This window comes from Homo sapiens, chromosome 2 (genome assembly GCF_000001405.40).
Source record: "Homo sapiens chromosome 2, GRCh38.p14 Primary Assembly".
Lineage (NCBI taxonomy): Eukaryota > Metazoa > Chordata > Mammalia > Primates > Hominidae > Homo > Homo sapiens.
In genome coordinates, this window is record NC_000002.12 from 138,757,354 (window position 1) to 138,780,650 (window position 23,297).

Sequence of the window (23,297 nt, forward strand, 5' to 3'; positions counted from 1 at the left end):
GCATGAACATGAAGCAGCAGCAGGCCTATAATGATTCCACCTTCCCTTGGGTCCTCCTCCACTTTCTCTGACATCTGGGTCAGGTGTGTGTGTAACTCTCTGAAGAAGGGCCCTAGCTTCAGCAGGATACCCTTGTAACCAAGGTCAGAGTTAACCAGAGCTGACCTAGGTTTCTGTCCGTCCTTGTGGCATTCCCGTTTATGCTTGTCAGTTCTTGCCTGCTTGTGATCTCCCCTTCCTGACTGCCTGCCCTGTGGAATTCATGCTGCAGCATGAGACACAGAGAAAACAGGCTTACAGAGACTGATTACCCAGCCTCTAAATTGTGTAAGGCCAACCATCCCCATAATAAATCTATTTATGTGTATGCACACACAGATAAAAATACCTCACTCTCTTATATATGTGTGTGTGTGCATGTGTGTATGTATGTGTATGTATGTATATGTGTGTGTTTCTTTATCTATCTATCTATCTATCTATCTATCTATCTATCTATCTATCTATCTATCTCCCACTGGTTCCACTTGCTTGGTTGAACCCTGACTGATACATACCTTAATGAATTTTCTACCAAAGTCACGTTCCTGAGGGATGGGAATGCTGGCATGAAAAGCATTGTTAAGATGTGGCTTTCAACAAGCTCTGAGAATGAGAGATGGGGAAGCACAAGGATGAATGAACCAAAGACGAACATGTTAAGACTCTCAAATAGACTCATGTTTTTAGAGAAATTTCTATCATCTTCTAAATCCACAGACTAAATCTCATAAAAGGCCAAAACCCTTTTATGATAGAAACTCAAGAAAAATGAAAAATCATCACTGGATGATACTGCACCTCTTTTGACAAAGCTGATTGCTGATTTTAAATATTATTTCCTAGGGTCTATCTATAATACTATTAAATAGTATTACTGAGGATCTACCCAGGATCCTAGGACACCTCTGCCTGAATTCTGCTCTGGCACCAAGGATCACATTCCTCCATTCTTGAGAAAATTCTGCAGAATCACAGAATTTTAAGTCTAAGCATAACTGAAAGTTCATATTCTATCTCCTTATTTACAGGGAAGTAATTGAGCTTTCATGACATTTTGACTTGCTCAAGGTCATCTAACTAATGGACAGGAAGAACCAAGACTAAAGTTCAATTTCCTGCTCCCAAGCCAGTGTTCCACTCACAATAGTGTTTCTCTTCATGCCTCATGTCTCCACCTGCTCCCACCATGGGACTTCCTGATGAAACATACCCTGCTTAACCATCATATGTCTTTAGTTTGTCAAGTTATATGCTTGCATTTGCAAATTTCCAGCTCTCAAAATTGAAAGACTCACAATTAGAGACTGTGGCCTGGTGGATCTTGTCCCTGACTGGTTGACCATGTCTGGAGAAATCTGATGTCATCAGAATGTACTTAACACCAGTTGTACCTCACCAAAAACACCAGCAAAAAGTTTGCTCACAAGTGGTCCCAAGCCACTCCAATCTTCTGAAAAATGAGAGACAGCTGGTTGAATCTCTATATCACAATATGCTTATGTCATGAAAGTGTTTCCTCTGGATACCTTGACAGATATAAAACTTATCATCTCAGGTCCTGAGGCAATTTTGCAGCCACCCACCCCAGTTATAAAGCAATTTGTGACCAGGTATGCTGGGGGAGTAATAGATTGACATTTGAACACTCTTTTTAACTTCTTTTGAACTTCAAAAGACTCTGGTGCATCATTTTTCCAGACATTAAAAGAAATTTCTTTCCTTTTTTCAATTTTTTTAACCAATACATCTTTTGCACAATGATTCACAACTGCCCTTGATAGTGGGTGTTTTTATTAAGGTGGCACATTTCAAAAAATGTTTTAGTATCCTTTATGAAGGCAATGTGATATTTCAAATAGCAAAAGCTTACAACAGTGGCTTAAAGAGGCATGGATTCAAGAAACAAGAAGTCATGAAGCAAGCAGGCTAGTGGTGGCACAGAGGGTCCACAATGCCCTCTGTGCCACCAGGCTTTGCCCATCACTATTCTCTGCTCTTGGTCTATGCTTGGTCCAAGAGAGAGGTAGCTCTTGGTCCATGCTTGCTCCCTCATGTTCACAGGATGGCTGCTGCACCCCCTAGCTACAAGTCTACATTCCAGGTGGGAAGGTGGGAAATGGGCAGAGTACCAAGGACAGAAAGATTGCCAGCCCACTTTACCCTTATTCTAATTTTTTTTTTTTAAAGAGGATTTCCCAGAAATAATGCTCAGCAAATTTCCACTTGTATATCACGAGCCACACCTATCTTATTAGTCATCCTGGAATTTTACAAAAGACAAAGCGGGTATGGATAGAGATTGTGACAACCACTGCCACAGGCTCCTATGCCACCTTTTTTTTTTTTTTTTTTGAGACGGAGTCTTGCTCTGTGGTCCAGGCTGGAGTGCAGTAGCGCAATCTCGGCTCACTGCAACCTCCGCCTCCCAGGTTCACGCCATTCTCCTGCCTCAGCCTCCCGCTTAGCTGGGACTATAGGCACCTGCCACCACGCCCGGCTAATTTTTTGTATTTTTAATAGAGATGGGATTTCACCATGTTAGCCAGGATGGACTTGATCTCCTGACCTTGTGATCCGCCCGCCTCGGCCTCCCAAAGTGCTGAGATTACAGGCATGTGCCACAGAGCCCGGCCGCCACCCTTTTTCTATAAAGTGTTTAAGAATCATTCTGAATAAGGCTTCAAATTCAAAACCTACTTCTAGAAATTTTATTTTAAATAAAAAAATTAAAACTTATTAAATTCATTCATCCCAAAGAAGTGGGAAAATTAACAAACCCAACTCTACATCAGACAAATGTCCATATATACAGGGTGACAGAACAATAAGATAAATAGGCTACCTCCCGCCAACTACTAATGAGCAATAAGACACTCATCTGCAAACCGTCTCCATTGCTCCCTGTTGTATACCGAGTCTGTCCCCATGCTCAACATCTGCTTAACTTTTGAGATCTCTCAGCCTGACGCTTTGAAACAACAACAACAAAAACCCCACAGGTTAGAAACATGCTTCCTAACAGCAAAATTCTGGGAAGATATATATAGAACAGAGAAAACCATACCTCATCCATTGCACGGAGGTCCCTGCTTTGGAGCAAAAATGCTGTCAGGGTCCTGAATAAATCATCTATCATCAAAAATCATAACGTGTGTAGAGGATTTTCTAAAACTAAGTAGAACTAGCTCCCTTTAGGCTAGTGTTTCTCCAAGTGTCATCTCATCTCAAAAACTGCATTAAAAGTCCTTAGATGAGGCTTAAAAATTAAAATCAGGTTCCTGGCGGTTCCTGGCACCACCTTAAACCCATGGTATCTATCTCCCAGGCAGAAACCCAAGAACTTGCATTTTTAGAAACTATCCCAGATCACTGCATACTAAAAGTTGTGAACTGCTTTCTTAGATTAAAATACCAGACTCATGGACGGAGTGGACAGGCTGGCAGAGTTCCCAGTCAAACCAGGTGTGGACTCTCTGTCTGAAGTCAAATGCTGGTGGGAGAACAATCATTTCAACTCCAGATAGAAAGTGAGCTCAGAGGAAAGGCTTGAGCTCCCTTGGCCAAGCAAACATCCCTGGCAAGAGCAGGCACCTGATTAAACCCAGGGTCTGCACGTATACTCCTCCAACTGATGAATAACCCTGCCAGGTAAGCATCTATCTTATAGGGATTTTCAGGGTGCCAGAGTTTGCTGTGCCTGAAGCTCAGCAAGCCATAAAGATCCAAAGATTTTGTTGAAACCTATTGCCACCATCTGCCCCCACCCTCATCTTCACTTGAGCATATCCAGTCCACCTCAAGTCTCCCCTACCTGAGCTCTGCCTAATAACAAATTCTTTCACCAGCGCATTCTCTGAAGGGTCCCATTGCTAACCCCTACATCAAATGTTTCGTCTGATTGATGTCATCTGATCTCATGAATCACCAATGGCTGCCAACTACTCTAGCAATGGGGCAAATCTGATGACCATTTCCCCGGTCAGGTCCCCAATAGTCAGGGGCCAGGACATACTCCTAGTCACATTTATGCATCAGAGCTTTTCAATGTCATTTGGCTACATTTCTTTATGGGTTTGAAATTTCTTTGACTTACTAATGCATCTGCTGTGCCTCCTGTTGGTTTCAAGAAAGAAGCTGAAGTATGTTCTGTTGCACAGAAAAAAGTGCTATTCTGAGAGATGATGTAGAAAATCCAAAAGGGGTTTCCTGTGCCACTTGAAGCTAAGAAAGGAGCCACTTGAAGCTAATAAAGCTGGTTTGGGCTTTAGTACCCAAGTACACCTTCTCCCACCCCCAAAGTTCACTAAAATAAAGTTGGGAAAGTGGTTTTTCTGGCCCCTCGCAGATGTAAGAATATTTAACTTTCAAAGATTCTGGTTGAAGTACATATCTAAAGCAAAATATGTTTTATCTTATGCGTCCAAAAGGCAGGCATCTAAAGCTAACCATTTAAAGTACTGATCAGTGTTCAGGGAGGATGTCCAGGGAGTAATGCTAAACACACAAAAACATCATATTTCAAAGAGTATAGAGTCACAAAGGCAGAAGTCTTAGATTACGCTGGTTAAAACCGAGTAGCATAAGCATGACTGAAACTTAGATAAGTTTGTGGGTTCTCAGAGAAAGAGCTTAGCAGGAATTTCTGTTGGAAAATATACTAAGCAGATTCAGAACTGAATGTGAGTGAGGGAGAAAGGAGCAGGTGTGAGGACAAAAATCACAGGTTTTGTTTCTGTTATGACACTTCTAGCTTGTCCCTGATATATCTGGAGATGAGAGGTCAAAATACACTTTATTACATTATCAACAGTGGTCAACTTGAGGTCATAGGCATCCACATTTGTTCTTTCTCCAGATTTTGCACCAATACTAGCACATCACTTGCCATGGTTCAGACATTACCCAGAAGCTCTAGCATCCCAAAATTCTTAATAAAAATTCTTAATAAAAATATTCAAAGCTCTCATTAATAGCATTCAAAGATCACAGCCCTTGCCCACTGCTAGCACTAATATAATACTGCAGGCATTTCATTTAATAATATCTTGGGCACAGTTGTTTTGGTTCCACCTCATTTCAATATAAATCCAAATAAAAACAAAATAAAATATTATGGAAGGAATTTGCTTAATGACTTGGTCACATGCCTTCACCATATCAATTCTGGTCTACTAACTAAATGTGGTACAAAAGATGAGAAGGGTTTATTACACCCTAATATTTTTCTTGTTCAAAACCCAGAAGTCAAGTTGTTCCTGGATGAAAATGCAAATCTCTTCTCTGACAGCCTAAGATGGGATGTTGTGGATGACAGCCTAAGATAGGATGCCTTCATCAAATGGAGACAGTGGGCTGTGTCTGGCTTAAACCAGAACAGTATGCAGATGACACTCTTCAACTGAAAGTAGATCTGTCCCCTTTATCTACTGGAAACAAGCTTGCTTAGTATAATGAGAAGAGGAGCTATTCCATACAGACCAAGCTTGGCTCCTTAAGCCAGACCACACCTATGTATTAATATATGCACAATTATGTTTCATTGTATCTACTTTCATATACAGGAGAGCGTATTACGAATAAGTTACAGTGCTTATAAGCAGGTGAAGTGATGACTGCTAAAATCATATCTGGTCTTTCAAAAACTTTAAATCATGAAATAATCACTTTAATTAAGACTAAAATAAAAATCTGATACAGGATGATTGGAATTGGAAAAGACAGTAAGATAGTAAATTAAGTTATACTAAGAAAGTGTCCTTAGCATATAAATATCAGCAAATTAAACCTATTACCTCATCAGAAAAATCATAAATCAATGAAGTAAGGAGATCAATGGAGGAAAGCACTAAAATAACAGAATAAACACAAAATCAGAAATTTTGATCATAAATTTTAAATTATTGACTGCCTAAATTCTTATTTTCATATTTTTCTATCAAAGAACTGAATCTAAACTTTAGAAATAATATTTTTCCTATATTAATTAATTATTCCTCTAATTATAAAAATACATTAAAAAATACTGCATAGCATATTGTAGTGAGAACAAGTGAGTCTGTAATAAATATTACAAAGTCTTAAAATGTGGATGTTGTTGACTGAATATCAAACTTTTCTGGCTATATGTATTTACTTCCAAAGGGCAAACAATGGAATCAACCAGTTCTCTGGCTACTGAGCATATCCTTTCTTTGTCCTAGTAGAGAAAACAGTTAAGCTTGAGAGAATCAGGTAGAGAAAGTAACAGTCTATTTTAGTAGAGTGCTTTAACTGAAGTGTAGAAGTCTTGTCCCAAAGGATCTTTATGACCATACTGTAAGGAAAGGAAATAAACTCAGAGCTTCAAAACAAAGGGGTTTCGAGCACACTTTGAAGGAAATCAGTGACACTGAACCAGCAGACTGAGGGATTAGATGGAATATGCCACCCCAAAGTTTTTCCCTGCAATCTGTTACAGGTAGTTTTCCAGGGGCTCTGAAGCATAACCTGTCAAGGGAGTTACTGAGTGATTTCTCTCAATAGTTCATTCATTCATCCATTCAAGCATTTATCTGATGCTTACTATGAGGATGGCTGTGATATTGCAGAGACTGACATCCACATTCTTTGTGTTCATAGATTTCACTTGAGCTAAGTGAAATACACAAAGATGTGCACCCACAACTACAATACCATGAGATAAATGCTACAGAGGAGTTATGCACTTAGTGTGCACCAGACCACAGAGAAACACTTAACATACCTTTGAGGAGAGGTCTGCAAATGCTGTAAAACCCTCTCATGACCTAAGGCATTCCCCTTCCTGAGTAACTGGCAGTCTTTCCCTTTGTGCTGGCTTATATTCCACCCTCCAAAAGAATCATGAACTCACAAAGCCAAAGGATACTTAAGAGAAAATCTGATCCAGGGGTCTCCAAACCTGGCTGGGCCCCAGTATCACCTGGTGCTTTGGTTCCAGCCCAGAGACACTGATGTAGCATGCCTAAATGTTCTGAAAATGCTTTCTTGCTATGGCCATTGTAGCTGGCCCATGGACCAGCATTTGGGAATCACTGAATCCAATCATCTCAATTTGCAGAAAGAAGAATTTAGAGGAAATTAACATCCACAGAATTAAAATGACTTCAGCAAATTAGTGTTATAGGCACATTAGGACAGCAATGGTGAAACATCTGGCAAAGGAATTTTTAGCGCAAATATTTTCAAAAAATGTTCCCAAGGTTTCTGATATAAATCATATATAATAGGACTATCTATCTATCTATCTATGATGGTCACAAATTATATAACTGGTAAGAAAACCTCAAGAAAATGAAGTTTAGTAATGTTACTTGTTGCAATGAACTACAAATTAGCTTTGCTCTTCCCAGTAGGAAAGTTATAAATGAAAACACTGAATTGAAACTCTCATTCTTAAAAATACCTGATTTATCAGGAAGAAATAATTTGCCCCTAGAAATATTTTCTAAGGAAAAGCTTAGCATAGTGCCATGCCTACTGTAGACACTTAAACTATTGAGTGGATGTATAAGAATATGAATGCAAGTATTAACAAAACATGTTTTTCTATGGCCATTTCCTATATTAACCTTTGATAGAAGCTAAGAATACATTGATAAAGAAGGGCTTGACTTATTTAGGGATGTGTACAGAGAATGGTAGTAGCATAATTAGGTCTATAACTTCCAAGGCAAAGACAAGCAAATGAAAAATGCAGCCTTTCATGCAGTGAGAAAGTTCAGTAAGAGAGTGTTATTTGTGTGCCTGCATGTGTTTATGTATAAAGACAGGCACAGGAATGTGCTGGCCTGTGCAGGGTGCTCCAACACACTCACTGTGAAGGGTACAGAAGCCTATGTGCAGGTTCATTCTCCATATATATAAAGGGATTGAGCAGCAGCCCAGCTGTGTTCCACTGTGGTTCTCAGACCTGATCACAATAAGTAAGGTCAATATTTATGCATAGTTAAAATTTTGTGAAAATATATTTCAAATTTTAACACCACCAGGGATTCTGTTTACGTTTCTATTACCATGTTTATCTCTGGAGGTTAACATGCAACTCTCATAGGGTACCTTCACAGATACATTTTTTAAAAACTAAGAATTACCTTAAAGAAAAAACTTAACTAAAAATGCATTCCAATATAGAATAAAATGATTCATGCCATTTATAAAAATAGAGTAACTCACAGTTTACATTTCAGTAAACTTGAAAATCTCCAATTTTTCAATAAAAAGGGAATGCAACCTAGCTCCTAAGAGTGGAATGTAATAGCTGTAAGCTGTTTTTTATCTCAAAAACACTGAATCAAATTTTACACTCACAATCACTGCATTTGTTTTCATACCAAAAATATAACCTGGGTTTGTGATAAACTCTTTGAAGAGTGTAATCCTACTATATTTTAATTGTAACAAATTTGCATGTCAAGTGTGATGTAGTTCACGTTTTTATTAACCAACCAATATTTGTGATTGCCAATTTCAATTTTATTTGCTGTCTTCTACAAGGTAATTTTTCTCTCATTACTTCATTTTAAAATATGGAAATTAGAAGGCTTTACTAAAACTTTCAGAGCCAGCCCTAACAACTGATAATATCTGAACCTGACACAAAACGAAATGTGTGACAGTGTCTAGTAGGAAAGGAAATCTTGTCCAGGCAAGGAATATCAGGGGGAACATTCATCATTTATTACCCTCAAAAAGGAAAATTTGTCCAACAGAGATGTGTGCACTGGGCACAGTGCCTGACAGAGTTGGCACTCAAAGATATTGGTTGAACTGAATAAAACCAAAGGAAATTTGCCTGAATTAGAAGAACTAAAATGTTGAGAAAGAAACTAGATCTAAGCAAAATGCTGACCCCGCTTCCTAACAGTTCAAAGACAAAGCATTTAGTTGAGAGAGGCTGAAGCAGTCACTTGGTTCAGCTTCTCGCATAGCCAGAAATCACCTATGGCAGGTTTCTCACCCACTCCAGGTCTCAACTGGGCTGTTTTTGCTCCCCAGGGGACATTTGTCAATGTCTGGAGACTTTTTTTGGTTGTACAAGTGGGAGAAGGTGCTACTCGCATCTGGGTAGGAGCCAGATGTGTTATTAAGCATCCTACAATGCACAGGATGGCTCCCAACAACGAGAAACTATTTGGCTCAAAATGACAACAGTTCTGAGGTTGGTACACCCTGCCCTACAGCATGATCCAGCAGATGGCCTCTGCTTTCCCACTTCCAGAAGTCAACTCATGGCCACAGGAGCATGACTTTACCACTGCTGGACAGCTCTCCCTGCTGAAAAGACCACCTTCATTTTGAAATTTACGGAGTAATAAACATTTATCAAAAGCACTATGAAAAAAGAAGCATATTTTGAGGTCAAATACAAAACACAAAATATACATTAAGGTCAAAATGCTTTTTCCACATGCTAATTTTAAATTTATTTTCTAATTTATTTAAATTGTAGAAGAAATGAAAGCACAAAGTAAACAAAGATGCATACTGATTTTTGTTGATTGTGTCATTTTTAATTCTTCCAGTATTTGGTAACTTTTAAGACTTTGCATCTATTTCTTAATTTATTAATATTAGATGGCTTCTATTAACTTCTTACTATGTAAGATAAGGAACCTGGCATGCTTGCCCACTTTTACCTCTTGTATTACCTTCACCTCCAAATTTTTATGATTTTAGTTCATCAATATTTATTATATTATACTCTGTTCTTAAGCAATATCTAAATCTTTCATGCTTTGAATATAAATCCATTTCAAAAACAGCAAAATAATAAATAGCACTTATGAAGCTGATATAACGTCAGTGGAACCCTTCAGTGGAACCCCCTATAGAGTCACAGTGTGGCCTGACCACAGAAGGAAATGGAACCCCATGCTTTCCCAGGAGCAGAGACTGAGTCACACTCAGACTGGAGTGCAACTGTGTGCCTCATCATCCCTTTGCTCTATCTCTCTCTTGCTTTGCAGCACCTCTTTGAGGATTTCCCCAAATGGAGAGAGCAGTAGCTCCCCTGAGACCCTTGCATGCCCCCAAATACCATTTTTTTTATTTTAAGTTCTGAGATACATGTGCAGAACATGCAGGTTTGTTACATAGGTATACATGTGCCATGGTGGTTTGCTGCACCTAATCATTTTTACCTTCTCTATTTTTTTCCTCTTCTGTCCTTCATATTTGATTGATAATTTGACTATTGATTCAATATCTCCTACCCTACAAACTGTAAAGATATTATTTTGTTGTTAATAAGATAAAACGTTTTTTTCCTAAGTAATCTATCTTGTTTTTCTGAAAGCTTTTAGAATTTTCTGATTTTTCATTTGAGCATGGAAATTTCACCAATTTGTTATTTTTAAGTCAGGCTATTCAACACTGTGTCTTTGACCATGTCCTTCCTCTCATTGCCTCTGTCCTCTTTTTCTGGAGCTCTTCACTGGATTTTCTGGATTTATCCTCTGTGTCTCTTCACACTTCTCTCATATTTTCCATTTTGGTTTTTTTGCTCTCTTCCATGGGAGATTTCCATGGCTATACCTTGTAGTTCACCAGTATGTTCTTTATTATCTCTATTATTTTCAGCCTTCTCCTTAACTTTTTATTTTGTCAGTTATAAATTTCGTTTCTAATAATTATTTATTGTTCCCCAGTTGATCTTTCTTCATAGCAACCTGTTCTTATTTTCAGGATACAATATCTTTTTGACTCTCTGAGAATACTAATTGGGCATTTTAAAAATTATAATTAGTTCTTTGTATTATTGCTTGCCTCCAAGGTAAGTTGTTCTGTTTTCTCTTTGTCCTTTTTTTCCTGATGATTTCTCTTAAGTGTCTGGTGATCTCTGGTTATCTATGACTATTTATGAGTGGAGATCATGTGGATTAATATGAACAGCTGGAATGGGTCTTCTCTGTAGTTGTTTGGGTCTCTTTCTCTAATAGAGCTCCTTCTTTAGTGAGAGTGCTAACCACAAGTTTTCTAAGGGGAATATCTATTGTGGATTCCCTAGGATATGCAGAACTCTTCATCAAAGTGCCCTGCCCTTCTCAAGCTAAGGCGTATGACCCAAACCAACCAGGCTTTCTCAACCAGAACACAGCATCTTAAATGAAGTGAAGCAAGGATTGTAGAGACAGGGAAAAAATGGTTGGCATTTATTCATTATCTTGGCTAATTGACAATTTCCTGACACACAAACCCTGGATTCTGTTCTAGACATGCCTGGTTCATACCCTTTCTGTGAGCTGCCCCATTTTAATAATTTCTTCTCTGCTTAAGTTAGTCAGAATCAGTTTCTGTTGCTTGTGCACAAAGACCCTAAGTTAATACAGATGGAAAGGAAACTGTCATTTGTTAAGCTAATGTTATGGGCCAGGTATTTTACATTTTTTGTAAGTAATTAGCAAAGCCCTCTGAGATAGCTAATAACTACCATTATTTTATAAGGAAAGAAACAGATTTAGTAGATTTATTAGCTTGTCCAAGATGCCAGAGGAAGTACCAGAATCCAAGTCAGCCTGACATCAAAACCTACGCTTTTCCCTCCACTCTGAAATATTCATGGAGCATTGAACATACAGGCCCCGTCGCAGTTAAGAGTATGTGATAAATATTGGAGGAGAGATTTAAGTCTGGGAAAGCCAGGAATAAGAATTTAGACTCACTGTGTTCAGAAAAAGAGAATCGCAATCTCACTCTTAATAGTGTAGTGGTATAGTAAATCAAAGGAGAATTTAAGAAAGATGATTCTGTGATATGTGGGATGAATTAAAAAGGCTCATGTTGGAATAAGATACACCAGTGAGGAGGCTGTGATAGTGATGACATGGCTGGGGATGGAGAGGAAGAGAGTTTACAATGGGACTTGGAAGGAAATTTCATAGGATTGTGTGACTGAATGGTTATTATAGGGGATGAGGAAAGATGAGCCAAAAATGACTACAAGATTTCCAGTTGCAATGAAGGAAGCTGAAAGAATGCATGCACTTGCCTCCCTCCAAAAATCCCAGTGAAAAGAACTAGAAATGCAAAAACAAGAATAAATGCATAAGAGTGCTAGAAAGAGAAAAGGATGCCAAAAGAGTCCATAAAATCAGAATCCCCAGAAGACACAAAGAAGAGTAAATCAAAATAATGGAAAAGTCAAGCATGCTGAGCAGGCTGTAACCAAACAAAGGCAAAGGAGAACCACACGCAGGCAGGACACTGAAGTTTTTTCCCCATGTGCACCCAATTCCCACCACCCAGCTTAGTGCAGCAGGATTTAGGCGTGAAACTGGCACCAAGGCAGCTACCAGGAGGCTCCCCTGAGCACAAAGCTCGTGGGGTTTTGGATGCTCACCCCTTACCCTGAGGCTCCATTCAGTTTGGACCTCTTAGTAACTTATCTATGAAATTTGCCCCTCAAGTCTTCTATTTATGCTGTTAAACATAGAAAGAAAATGAAGGCACTCCCCTAGCTACCATTCTTACAAAACAATTAATATAATACAAACTCGAGGGCAAAACAGGGCGCAAATTCACAGTGTGCAGTAAGTTTTTAAAAATTAAGGTTATAGTATATATAATTTTATGTGAAACAAATTTAAGGATACAGAAACATGCATAATTTTAAAGTTAATAAAAGGGATTCAATAAGGGTTGGTTGAGGAAAAAACCTGAGTGGTAAGTAGTCATAAAGGAAATAAAAAGTTTATAAAAGACTTCTTTTCCCAAAACAAAAAGGCCCAAATGGATTAGAATGATTCCCAACAAACTGCCAAAGAAAAAGCAATTCTCAAATATTTTAACTCTTTCCAGAAGTGAGGGGGAAAACATAGAAGTCTTTTTAATTCTAATCCCACCATAATCTTTATACAAAAATCTGGCATGTTTCACTTTAGTTATATTTCATTTATGAATATAGCCAGTGTATCTAAATAAAATGCTAAAAACACATACATAAAATAAAAATAAAAATTAACAAATAATAAACTTCATACTTAGTAAAGTTTATGTTAAAGTTGGAAACATGAGAACATGCTTAATTTCAGAATTATTCAATAATATTTTGAAGATTCTATACAGTTCTCTAGGAGAGTAAATTTTAATATGAGACATAATGTTCAATAAAAAGAGTCAAATATAAGATTATTTGCAGATGATATGATTGTCTAGACATAAAATCCAGGGGAATCAAATAAAAAATATTACAACTAATAACTGAGTTCAGAAATAGAACAGATACAAACATAAACATACAAAAATAAATAGTTTTCCTTACATTCCAGCAAAAATGAATTTTAAAATGTCAGCCATAAAAAAGATATCCATAACAACCTAATAATGTACCAGATATTCAGGAATAATAAAGAACAATTGTGCGTGAGCAATATTAAAAAGAAACTATAAAATTTAAAGGCTGTAAAAAACTGAAACACAGGAAATTACTTAAAAAGGCAATTCACAAAATAAGAAATACAAATGGTTATTAAATGTGAAAACATGCTTTATATACCTGATAAGTAATACAGTATACAATACATGTTAAAAACAATGAAGTACTTTCCTTTAATAGATTGTCAAAAATTTTTTTTTAAATACCAGTATTCAGGTAGTGTGATACAGGCATGCACATACAATGTAATACCTTATATTGGTACAATCATTTCAGAAAACATTTATAATTATCAAAATTCAATATATACATTCTCAATTGAACCAACATTTTCAATTCTAGGAATTTGTGTTACAGGTATACTTACAACTATATTAAAGAATTCAAAACAATTTAAATATTAATTAGAAAGATTAAATATATTATGGCATATCAATGCCATGAAATACAGTGAATCTTTAAAAATATAAGTTGCTCTATCAAAGTAGCCAAAATATGCTATTGCATTAAAAAAGCTTGTTACAGAACATGGTACTGTGCATGATATAATTATTATAAAAGCATACATATCCATAATATCTGGAAAGACATACGTTAAACTATTAATAATGCCCTGAGTATAAGGTATGAGGTGGCAGAAAGCAGGCAGGGGTGAGGATGGCTACTTAAAGAAATTCTGAGTAGTACTAAAAAAAAAAAAAATTAAACAGAAATCTTAGATGGAGTTCCCCAGAAGGACAGGCTGAAGCAAGTATTTGAGGGCTATTGATTTAAAACAGAAGCACTTCCGGGGAAGCCTTGCTAAGGGAGCAGGGCAGCTGGTGAAAGAATGGGAAAAAAGTCATGGAAGTGCGTGATCTCAGGCAAAGTCTTGCAGAGGGTAGCTTCAGCCTGCTCCTGCAGGGAAGACCGAGATTATCTGTTTCACCTCAGTTATATCTGGGAGCTGTCCAGAGTCGGGGCAAGGCAGCTGGGCTTTCATACTCTGACATCTGTCAGTCACTAGTCAAGAGCTTTCCAGAGGAAGTGAATGGCACCTGTGGCTCTGAGTGCATTCTGGCAAAGTGCCTCCCCAAAAGAAATCTGGGTGGAGAACCAATAACATCCACTACAATATTACTTTTATAATAAAATACATATTTTCATTAAAAGAAAGAAAAAGAGAGCAAAAGCCATGTGCTACTAGTAAAGTAAAATTATATATTAATGCTCTCAAATTCTACACAAGTCTGGGCACCTACTAGACAGGTTCCCTCACCCACCTGCTTGTCCTCATATTCCTACCTGTCCACTAGAAAACCAGGGTTTAGCAGCCCGTGAACCCACACTTTCTCTCTCCTTTTTATCTTTTCCATCTGGAGTGGTATAGGTGAGATCCTGAAAAGTTAGAGGAACTCTCAAAACCTCTGCTGATCCTAACTGGAGCCACATTACTTGGCTACTAACTTAACATGAAAATGGCATTAAAGCTGAGACCCTTGGCAACTGGCCTCCATGAGGTTAAATTTTATTATTTATTTATTTAGAGACAGAGTTGCACTCTTATTGCCCAAGCTGGAGTGCAATGGCACGATCTTGGCTCAACACAACCTCTGCCTCTTGGATTCAAGCAATTCTCCTGCCTCAGCCTCCCAGGTAGCTGGGATTACAGGCATGCGCCACCACGCCTGGCTAATTTTGTATTTTTTAGTAGAGACGGGGTTTCTCCATGTTGGTCAAGCTGGTCTCGAACTCCCGACCTCAGGTGATCTCCCCACCTCGACCTCTCAAAGTGCTGGGACTACAGGGGTGAGCCACCGCGCCCGGCCCATGAGGTTAAATTCTAAATAGAACTCCAGATTAAAGAAATGCCCCAAGAATTCATTTGTTCTATTCAACTTATTTGACTTTATGGCAAAGCTAAGATGAATGAATTAAGGTTTCTAGCTCAGTGGTCACTGAGCAGAGTGGGATGTTTCCTAGAAATGTCCCTCAAGTCCATCACTCTGGGTGTCAGTGATGAGTACCTAGAAAGACAGCACTCATCATCAAAGTGGATGATTCGAATTTACAATCTGTGCAGTCTACAGTCTGTCTCTGAAACCTGTGGTGTGCTTTTGTTGCTTCACCTGTAAAATGGATGCAATAACTATCATTCTACTTACTTTTCAGAGCTGATGCACAGATTAACCACGAAAGAATTTTGCAAACCATGTAGTGCTTTACATCCTGTCACTTGTCTTAGCACAAAGGCTCCAAACATTAAAAATGGGATGGTGGTGACTTCAAGATCCAAATCCATGAATGTTGGAAGGCACTTGTTCAGCACAGATGTGTGTGGCCTTGCACATGTTGAGTGTGAGTTAACAGTAAAACATCCAAGTAAAACAGAACAGTAAGTTATGGAGACACCGGCTTGGAGCCTGAGCAACAGGGTAGGAACTGAGATACAAGCTGGAGAGTCAGCAACACAGGAGCAACAGGTAAATTCGAGACTACGGAAAACACGCTTTTGAAAACTTCATCTTTTTTTCCATTTCCATAGCCATATTCCTCAAGCCAATCCCAATCGTCTCCTGTTTGAACTATCCAAGTGCAAAACTTCATTAATACATATTCCTGTTATCATTACTACAAAATGTTAAATGATGCTTTATGGTCCCTAGTCGTTTATTGTATGCATTATCCATTGAAAAGATCATACAGATTTTTATACTAATCAACCACTTTCAGTAGCTGTCTACACACACAAATGAGGAATGGAATTTGGGAATAGAAATCACATGTGTTTTTAACAGCCATACTACATAAGTGTTCTTTCCCTTTGAATAATATACATTATTTCTTAAATTACTGTTTTGGGCGAATAAATATACCTGCTATATAACTTAAATTGATAAGATTTAAAAATTATCATTATATATGATAAAGCTTGAAAATCATAATCTTGCATATTCTTGCATGAAAAGACTTACACAATTTATGTAAATTTTGTTTTTAATGACCTTAGAATCACTTTATGTGGCAAAAAAGCAGCAATATCTCAAAGTCAAGTTTCATTTGTAGAGACATTTACGTGCTTACAGTTGGATTGAATCCCAGGAATAGTTAGTCTTTCTGTTTCACTTGGATTTTCTCCTAAGGTTAGGATCATTGGCAATTTTCTCCATCTTTGGTAGGTCTCACATGCCAGTTTTTTTGTTTGTTTTATTTTTAAAATTTTGTAACATTTACATGTGAACTCCTGAAACCATTGCAGTTAGTTAAAACTATTTCTGATTTAAATAGACTGTATTCTATTCAGGCACACAAAAGTCACTTGCTAGTTTTCTGGATGAAGAACAGTATTAATCTGTAATGTTGTTTATCTTAATAATTAGAATTTAACTGAGAGTCAATTTTCCGTTTATTTAAATTGATGCAATGACTAGATGTTAGTTTACAATTTAAAATGGTATGGGGGAAGAAAATCCCTGAATGCACCATTTTAATTTAACTTTTTATTGATTTTGCTGATTATATGTTAAATAAGTGCTCATCAATTCTCTGTCTGGTTTTACTAAATTTTCCTTTTCCGTAAGCACAGATCTAGTAATCCATCTTGTAGTGTTTTAAATCTACTTCTAAGTATATACATCACTTGTGATGTGGTTAACAGCATAAAATACATGTGAAATTTATATTTAAAACAATTACATTTTTATGTAACATATATATACAGTAACTAAAGATGTAAATCATATGAAGAAAAATTCAGAACCCCTGTTACAACATATTAAAAAAGGAGAGATGTTAAAAACAAATTTTTATCTACTTTGTCATTATTGACTTCATTTTATAGATGAAAGTTCTCAGGCTGTTAAACGAACTGCCCAAGACACATACACACTCACAGGTGCACATGTGCACACATACACACACACTCACACCCTTGGACCAACTCTATTTTGTTGACTGCTATGTTCTCACTGCTTGCTGTAGTCTCAGTGTAAAGTCTGGATCAAAACAGATAATGAACAAATATTTGTTGAATGTTTGACTGATTCAGAAATAGACTCCAAGTCTTTTGACATGAAATTCATTGTTCTTCCCAAAACATGAATGGAAACATTTAAAATATCCTTCTCTATCTTCTAGTCTTACTGGGAGAATAGAATGTGATAATTGTGTGAAAGAAACTTAAAATTATGTAAGTGCATGGAAATCTAAGTCAGCGTTATTATCATTATAGTTTAAGTTTATAAAATGTCTCATTTCTCTTACCATTTAAGAAAGGAAAAATTAACTAGAATGGCAATTTAGTATACGTGCTACTGAAGTGAGCACAAGAATGGCAATTTTAGATACAACTATTTGATCTTTGTGAATGATCTGACTAGGAAAAAGAAAAATATTTCCTACAGCATTTGGGCTTAAATAATGGAAATTTCATTTTTAATGGTAATTCTATAAGGAAAGATAATTCCTTATTATATACCAATCTTACAGCATAATGAACCAAACACTTGTTTGAGAGTTTTAATCTAGATTTTCATAAGTTAAAAAATAACATAAAATAGAAGTTTTCAGTCAATCACATCTTAAAATTCTTTCTTTAATATGAAAATCTATACCACAACTTATACTGTAAATTGCTTTAGATTCCTTTTTTATTTAGCAGGATTTTGAAATAAAGAATAGAGTTGTCATCAATACCATTAATCAAATCACAGCTAATAAAAAATGCATTAGTAAATAAAGACTTATAAAAGGGCACCTGATTTTGGCATAATTAAAAATACTTATGACGAAATAGTGTTAGAAAATCTTACGGCAGTACAATATATATGTTAACTGGGAAAAGGTTATCTAAAATCATTTAAACATATCCCAACTTAAATTATAACCATTGTGGAAGTCAAAACCATAGGATTGTGCCTGCTAATTTAGTTACAAAGTCAATAATATAGAAATTAGTTTGTTAAATCACCATCCTGCATACTATAAGGATACCTAGACAGTAACCTCATATGGGGAGCACTCAAAATCATTTGGACCAATTTTTTAAAGCCGTTTTGAAATAATTTACTTCCAAATCAAGATATTAAATGCCAGCTTCTAACCAGCAATAATGCTTATGGCTAAGATAGAAATGAGATTCTTTACAGAAACGCTGACACAGCCTTAACTGTAAGCACTTGAGTGTGCAGCTATAATTCTTTTTTCAAATCTTTCCCAGTAAAGCTTCAGGTAAAAGAGTCCACAGAATATGTAAACGGTAAGAGACAGTCTAGAGCTTTTACAAAATCACAAACCTGTGACACATTTATATTCATCTTTGATTGCTACCACTAAACGACTAAATCATTCAAGGTGTATTGATTAGCTCTTTAATAGATAAAAGGTGGGCGGTGTCTTATATAAACCAACATTTCTTAATACATTTGATTGGCAAGAACTACACATTTTAAGCTGACAATGTAAACCCCTAAAATATTTTTCCAAAAAGCTTTCTGCCTTATTTAGCATTACAATTACTAATCAAAAACCATAAAAAAGAAAAAATTACAAAAAAATACAGAACAAAGATTAAGAAAGCTTTTCTTTTCCATTCGGAAACTAAACAATAAAATAATTTCCCAAGCAGTCATTTTTCTGTATGGAAGGCATTCACAACTGGACCAGATAACATAATACCAGAATAAACCAAGGGAATACAACTTGTACTGGGAGGTGGGTGACTGGAACCAAGGATTTAATTGTCTAATCTTAATTTTCATTTTTTAAAGTGTGTAAAATAATGATGCTTATAATGAGGAGTTCATTTTAATGCACGGCCAACTCTAAGTCATAACAATGATATAGTGGTGTTTTTTTTTTTTTTTCCTTCACATTGTCATATAGCCAACAGAGGACTATTCATCCGGCACTGGAAAATACTATTTTGATGTTTATTGATCAAGGCTGTATGAGGAAAGTTGTCATTTTTGAATGGAAGATAGTAAAGAGTTATCAATTCTTGTAAGTACAGAAGAAGAAATAAATAGAATCATCAGACTAAACAAATATTAAAATTATTAGTTTTAATGTAAGTACCCTTAATAAATTATGTGGTACTAAAAAGATGAACTTAAAATTTTACCATCTTTCATCACAAGGATCTGATTTTATAGGATTCTAAAAATTTGCCAACTTACATTGCTTTTAACTAATATTTTATTTTGTAAACTCAGCATTGTATCACAGTAAAACAAGTTAAAATGTGTAAGAAACTGATTTTTTAAATCAGCCCTAAATTTTATCTTAAACGTTAGCTAATCATTCATTTAAATTAAAATTTATTCTTTTTTTAATCTTCTTTTTACTTAAAGGCAAAAAATCACACTTATTACCAGTTACAAATCATCATGCAAATCTGTAAACAGTTGACATCTGGTGAAGTCTTTACCTTGTATCATGATGAAGCAACACTCATTTTGATATAATATTCATTTCAAATGCTAATTTTTTTCTTCATTAGTGGCAGAAAAGATATAACATGCTCTTAATATTCTTTATAAGAGTATGTTGCTGAATAAGAATTTTTAAAAAAGGAATATGTTCAAGATGGATATTTAAATCTTGCAAATAGTAATCCCATTAATTAGCTATAGCAACCTGTCTGTTAAAAGCACTATACACAGGCCAGGAAAATGGGCAAGGACAGGTAAGAGACATACATTCTTCCTAGCCTACTTGCAGTATTTATCAATTCCGCTTACTGTTTTCTTAGAAGTTTTAAATATCACATAAACAGGTAAAAAAATTCTAGTTATTGTGACTGTATTATATATACGTGTATATTATATATGTTATATATAACCATAGTTAGTGACTTATTTGGGCTCAATTCCCTGTGACTGCTTTCAGAAACAAACAGGTAATTTTCATATCACTAAATGTTCAATATGCCCAAATGAATCTATTATTCTTTTAAAATATTTAATATTTTTTATAAGTATGTTCTTCAGGCTGGCAGTGCAGATAGAAAAGTAAAATCCAATTTCGACAATAAGGTAACTTCACTCCTCCCTCACCAAAAAATTAAAAAAAAAAAAAAAAAAAAAAAGCCTTATGTCAGCAAAGGGCAGATTTTTTTAGTACATATGGTTCCTAGAAAAGTAAATGACTAGTTTCATATCTAGAAAATATTTTATCCCCTTGCTGTTAGGATTTAACAAAGAAGTTCAATATCAGCTGAAAAAGGTAGAACAAAACTATGAGCCATCCAAATGAGCAAATCATGATCTGTCCTTTTTGACACCTACTGGAGTAGGGCATATGCTGGGATTGGGGAATATTTCAATTTAGATATGCTCAGCCACTCTGTTTTCCTTTCACATTCTAACCCCCTTGTGTTATAAGGCTGGCAACAGCTCTAAGAATGTGGAGAATGTAAACAGCCTTTTATTGTCCGAAGGGATGGCAGCGTAAGGAATGTGTGCTTATCAACAGGGCTGCAGCTCCCTACCTCACTTACCATGATAAAGTGCTCCAGGAGAAAAACATTACAACCCAAGCACAATCCCAAAATGGATTAGAATTTGACATAAGCTTTTTTAAAAGCAAATCCATCAGTCCATGCTGTAATATTAGAATCTAGCTCTTAAGGAGAGCATATAATCCCTTCAAGATGTATTTCCTATTCCTTACTGACTATGGCGGTGTGGAAAAAAAAAATATCTAACATTTCCAATATAGTAGCTGGGAGAAGAACTTTTCCCCGACACGTGCCCAAATATATTTTCTCATCTTTAAGAGCCTATCACACTGCTTACGGAGCAGATACACAGTTCATATTTATTAAATGCAAAATTAATGAACTAAGATTCGTGAAGATATTCTGAAGACCCCACATAAACACCTGATTTCCCCAGGCTTTTCCTTACACACACCATACAAATGCTGCTTTGTTAGATCACCTTTTATTAGAATCCAGACTAAAAAATTTTAAAGCAAGGGATACTAAAGATTAATGTGGCATATATTTTGGATTCATAATGCCTAAGATGTAAAATGTATTTTAACATGGAGTATTGTAGATAGCCAGTATGTGATGGCTCATTCAAGGATATTTGGGCATATCATTGCATTTTCTTCTTGATGCCATTGAAGAGTTTCTGAGTTAACGCTGTGCAGGTGAAGCTAATCTCCACCGTAACAAGCATGGACCACGGGCATCTCAGAGGTCTCTCCACCTTTTAGAGTTCCTTCCACCCTCAGAACTTGCAAAGTGCCTCTGCCTTAACAATATCATACATATCATAAACTTTCAAAGTTACTTGATTTTCCCCCTAATAGGAAAAGAAAGAGACAAAGAGAACGAGAGAGAGAGCGAGCGAGAGAGAAGAGACTGTCATCTTCTAAGTGCTTGGGCAAAGTCTTAAGTATGAGGACCAAAGAAACTATGGCATCAGGAGAAAGCCCTCTTAATAGCACCCTAACAAGGCAAGAGCTAAGTGACCAGAAGAAATCCATCACAGATGCTGACCCAGCCAAAGCACTCCCCTTCTGTAATTTTACTTTAAAAGTTTCTTCTTGAAGATCTTACTTTGGTTTTCCCTCAACTATAATTAGCCATGCATATAGAACATAGGCGTATATCAGGAGGAGGAGAGCGTGGCGCCTCGCGGGAAGAGAGAAGAGAGTGACAACGCGAACCCCAAACCACATTTTAATACGTTTCTTATTCCTCAGCGCCTCCGAGCCACCCAGACCAGGCGGGCGGTCTCCCTGAAAAGACAGCTTCGAGATGCCCGAGAGGGGGCTCCTGCGCGGAGCTGGGCATGAAAGTTATATCTTGTGTCCCCAGCTGGCAGAAAGCCCCATCCCAGTCCCTAGCGCCAGACGGAAAACGAAGAGAAATCCAAGCTGTCCCCCAAATCCGTATTTTGCCTAAGTTTTCTCCCAGCAAGGCGCCACTACCTGGCTCTGAGAACGAGGATGCATGCACTATGCTGTGCTTTGGGAGAAGTGTCTGTGTGCATCTGGGCAAAACACCACGTGAAAAATAAACACCACCAAGCCTCTCAAACTGTGAACAGGAGGAAGGTCTTTCTGCCCCTTCTCATCCTATCAATTTACTTTCCTTCCTCTCCTTGACCGCTTATCAATAAACCGCTTCCTTCTCCCGGACCTACTTCCCGGCCACCTTCTGCCTACTTTACCCCAGCGCTCAAGTCCCAACCCGTGCTAAGCCCCTGAGTCGCCTGTAGATCCCGTCTATTCCGTTCTTCAATTCTTCCCTTTCGACCTCTAAGGCAACCCAAAACTCCTTGCCCTCCGCGCGCCCCCAACCCCACTTCCCAAGCAGGCCCAGGCTGGGCTCCAAGTCAGCCGCCTGCGCGGTTTTCCCGCCGAAACGCGTCCCCGGCGTGTGGGACGGCGCGCGGGCCGGGCACTCACCAGCTGCAGCAAGCCAGGGACCACCACGAGGGGCAGCGGCCGCAGGCGCATGGTGCCGGCTGGCGCGGCTTTTCACGAGCTGCGCGCCCTCGCCTGCCTCTCGCGCATCTCCACTTCGCGGGGCAGGACTGAGGACGCCAGGGACACAGCGCGGCGCTTCCCTCCCGGAATCCGAGCGCTGCGCCGTGCCGCGCAGCTCTGGCCGGGTGGGCGGGCAGGGAAGGGGGAGGGTGGGCGGACCGGAGGTGCCTCTCCCGGCCCCCCGCGCGCCCCTCCTCGGAGGGGGCCGGCAAAGAGCCTGCGGGGCAGCTCGAGCTCCGGCACGCGGCGGGGGGCTTCAGTCGCGCCTTGGACTCTCCCGCTTGGCCGGGCTTGGGGTGAGCGCGTGGGGCGCCTGCGGGAGGGAGGCGGCGGCTCGGGCGCTTGGGTGATGGGTTCAGTGCGAGGCTGCCCTCCAGAT

The 23,297-nt window shown here is 37.9% G+C and overlaps 1 protein-coding gene across 1 annotated transcript in view; it reads right to left on the minus strand.

Annotated features, from left to right (window-relative positions):
• The window catches only part of NXPH2 (neurexophilin 2), a 111,234-nt gene extending 88,197 nt beyond the window's left edge, over positions 1 to 23,037 (minus strand). The window contains exon 1 of the mRNA NM_007226.3: positions 22,838 to 23,037. Coding sequence (NP_009157.1) covers positions 22,838 to 22,888 — 51 coding nt within the window. The 5' untranslated portion in view covers positions 22,889 to 23,037. The remainder of the gene's footprint in view (positions 1 to 22,837) is intronic.
• Between the last annotated feature and the right edge of the window lie 260 nt (positions 23,038 to 23,297).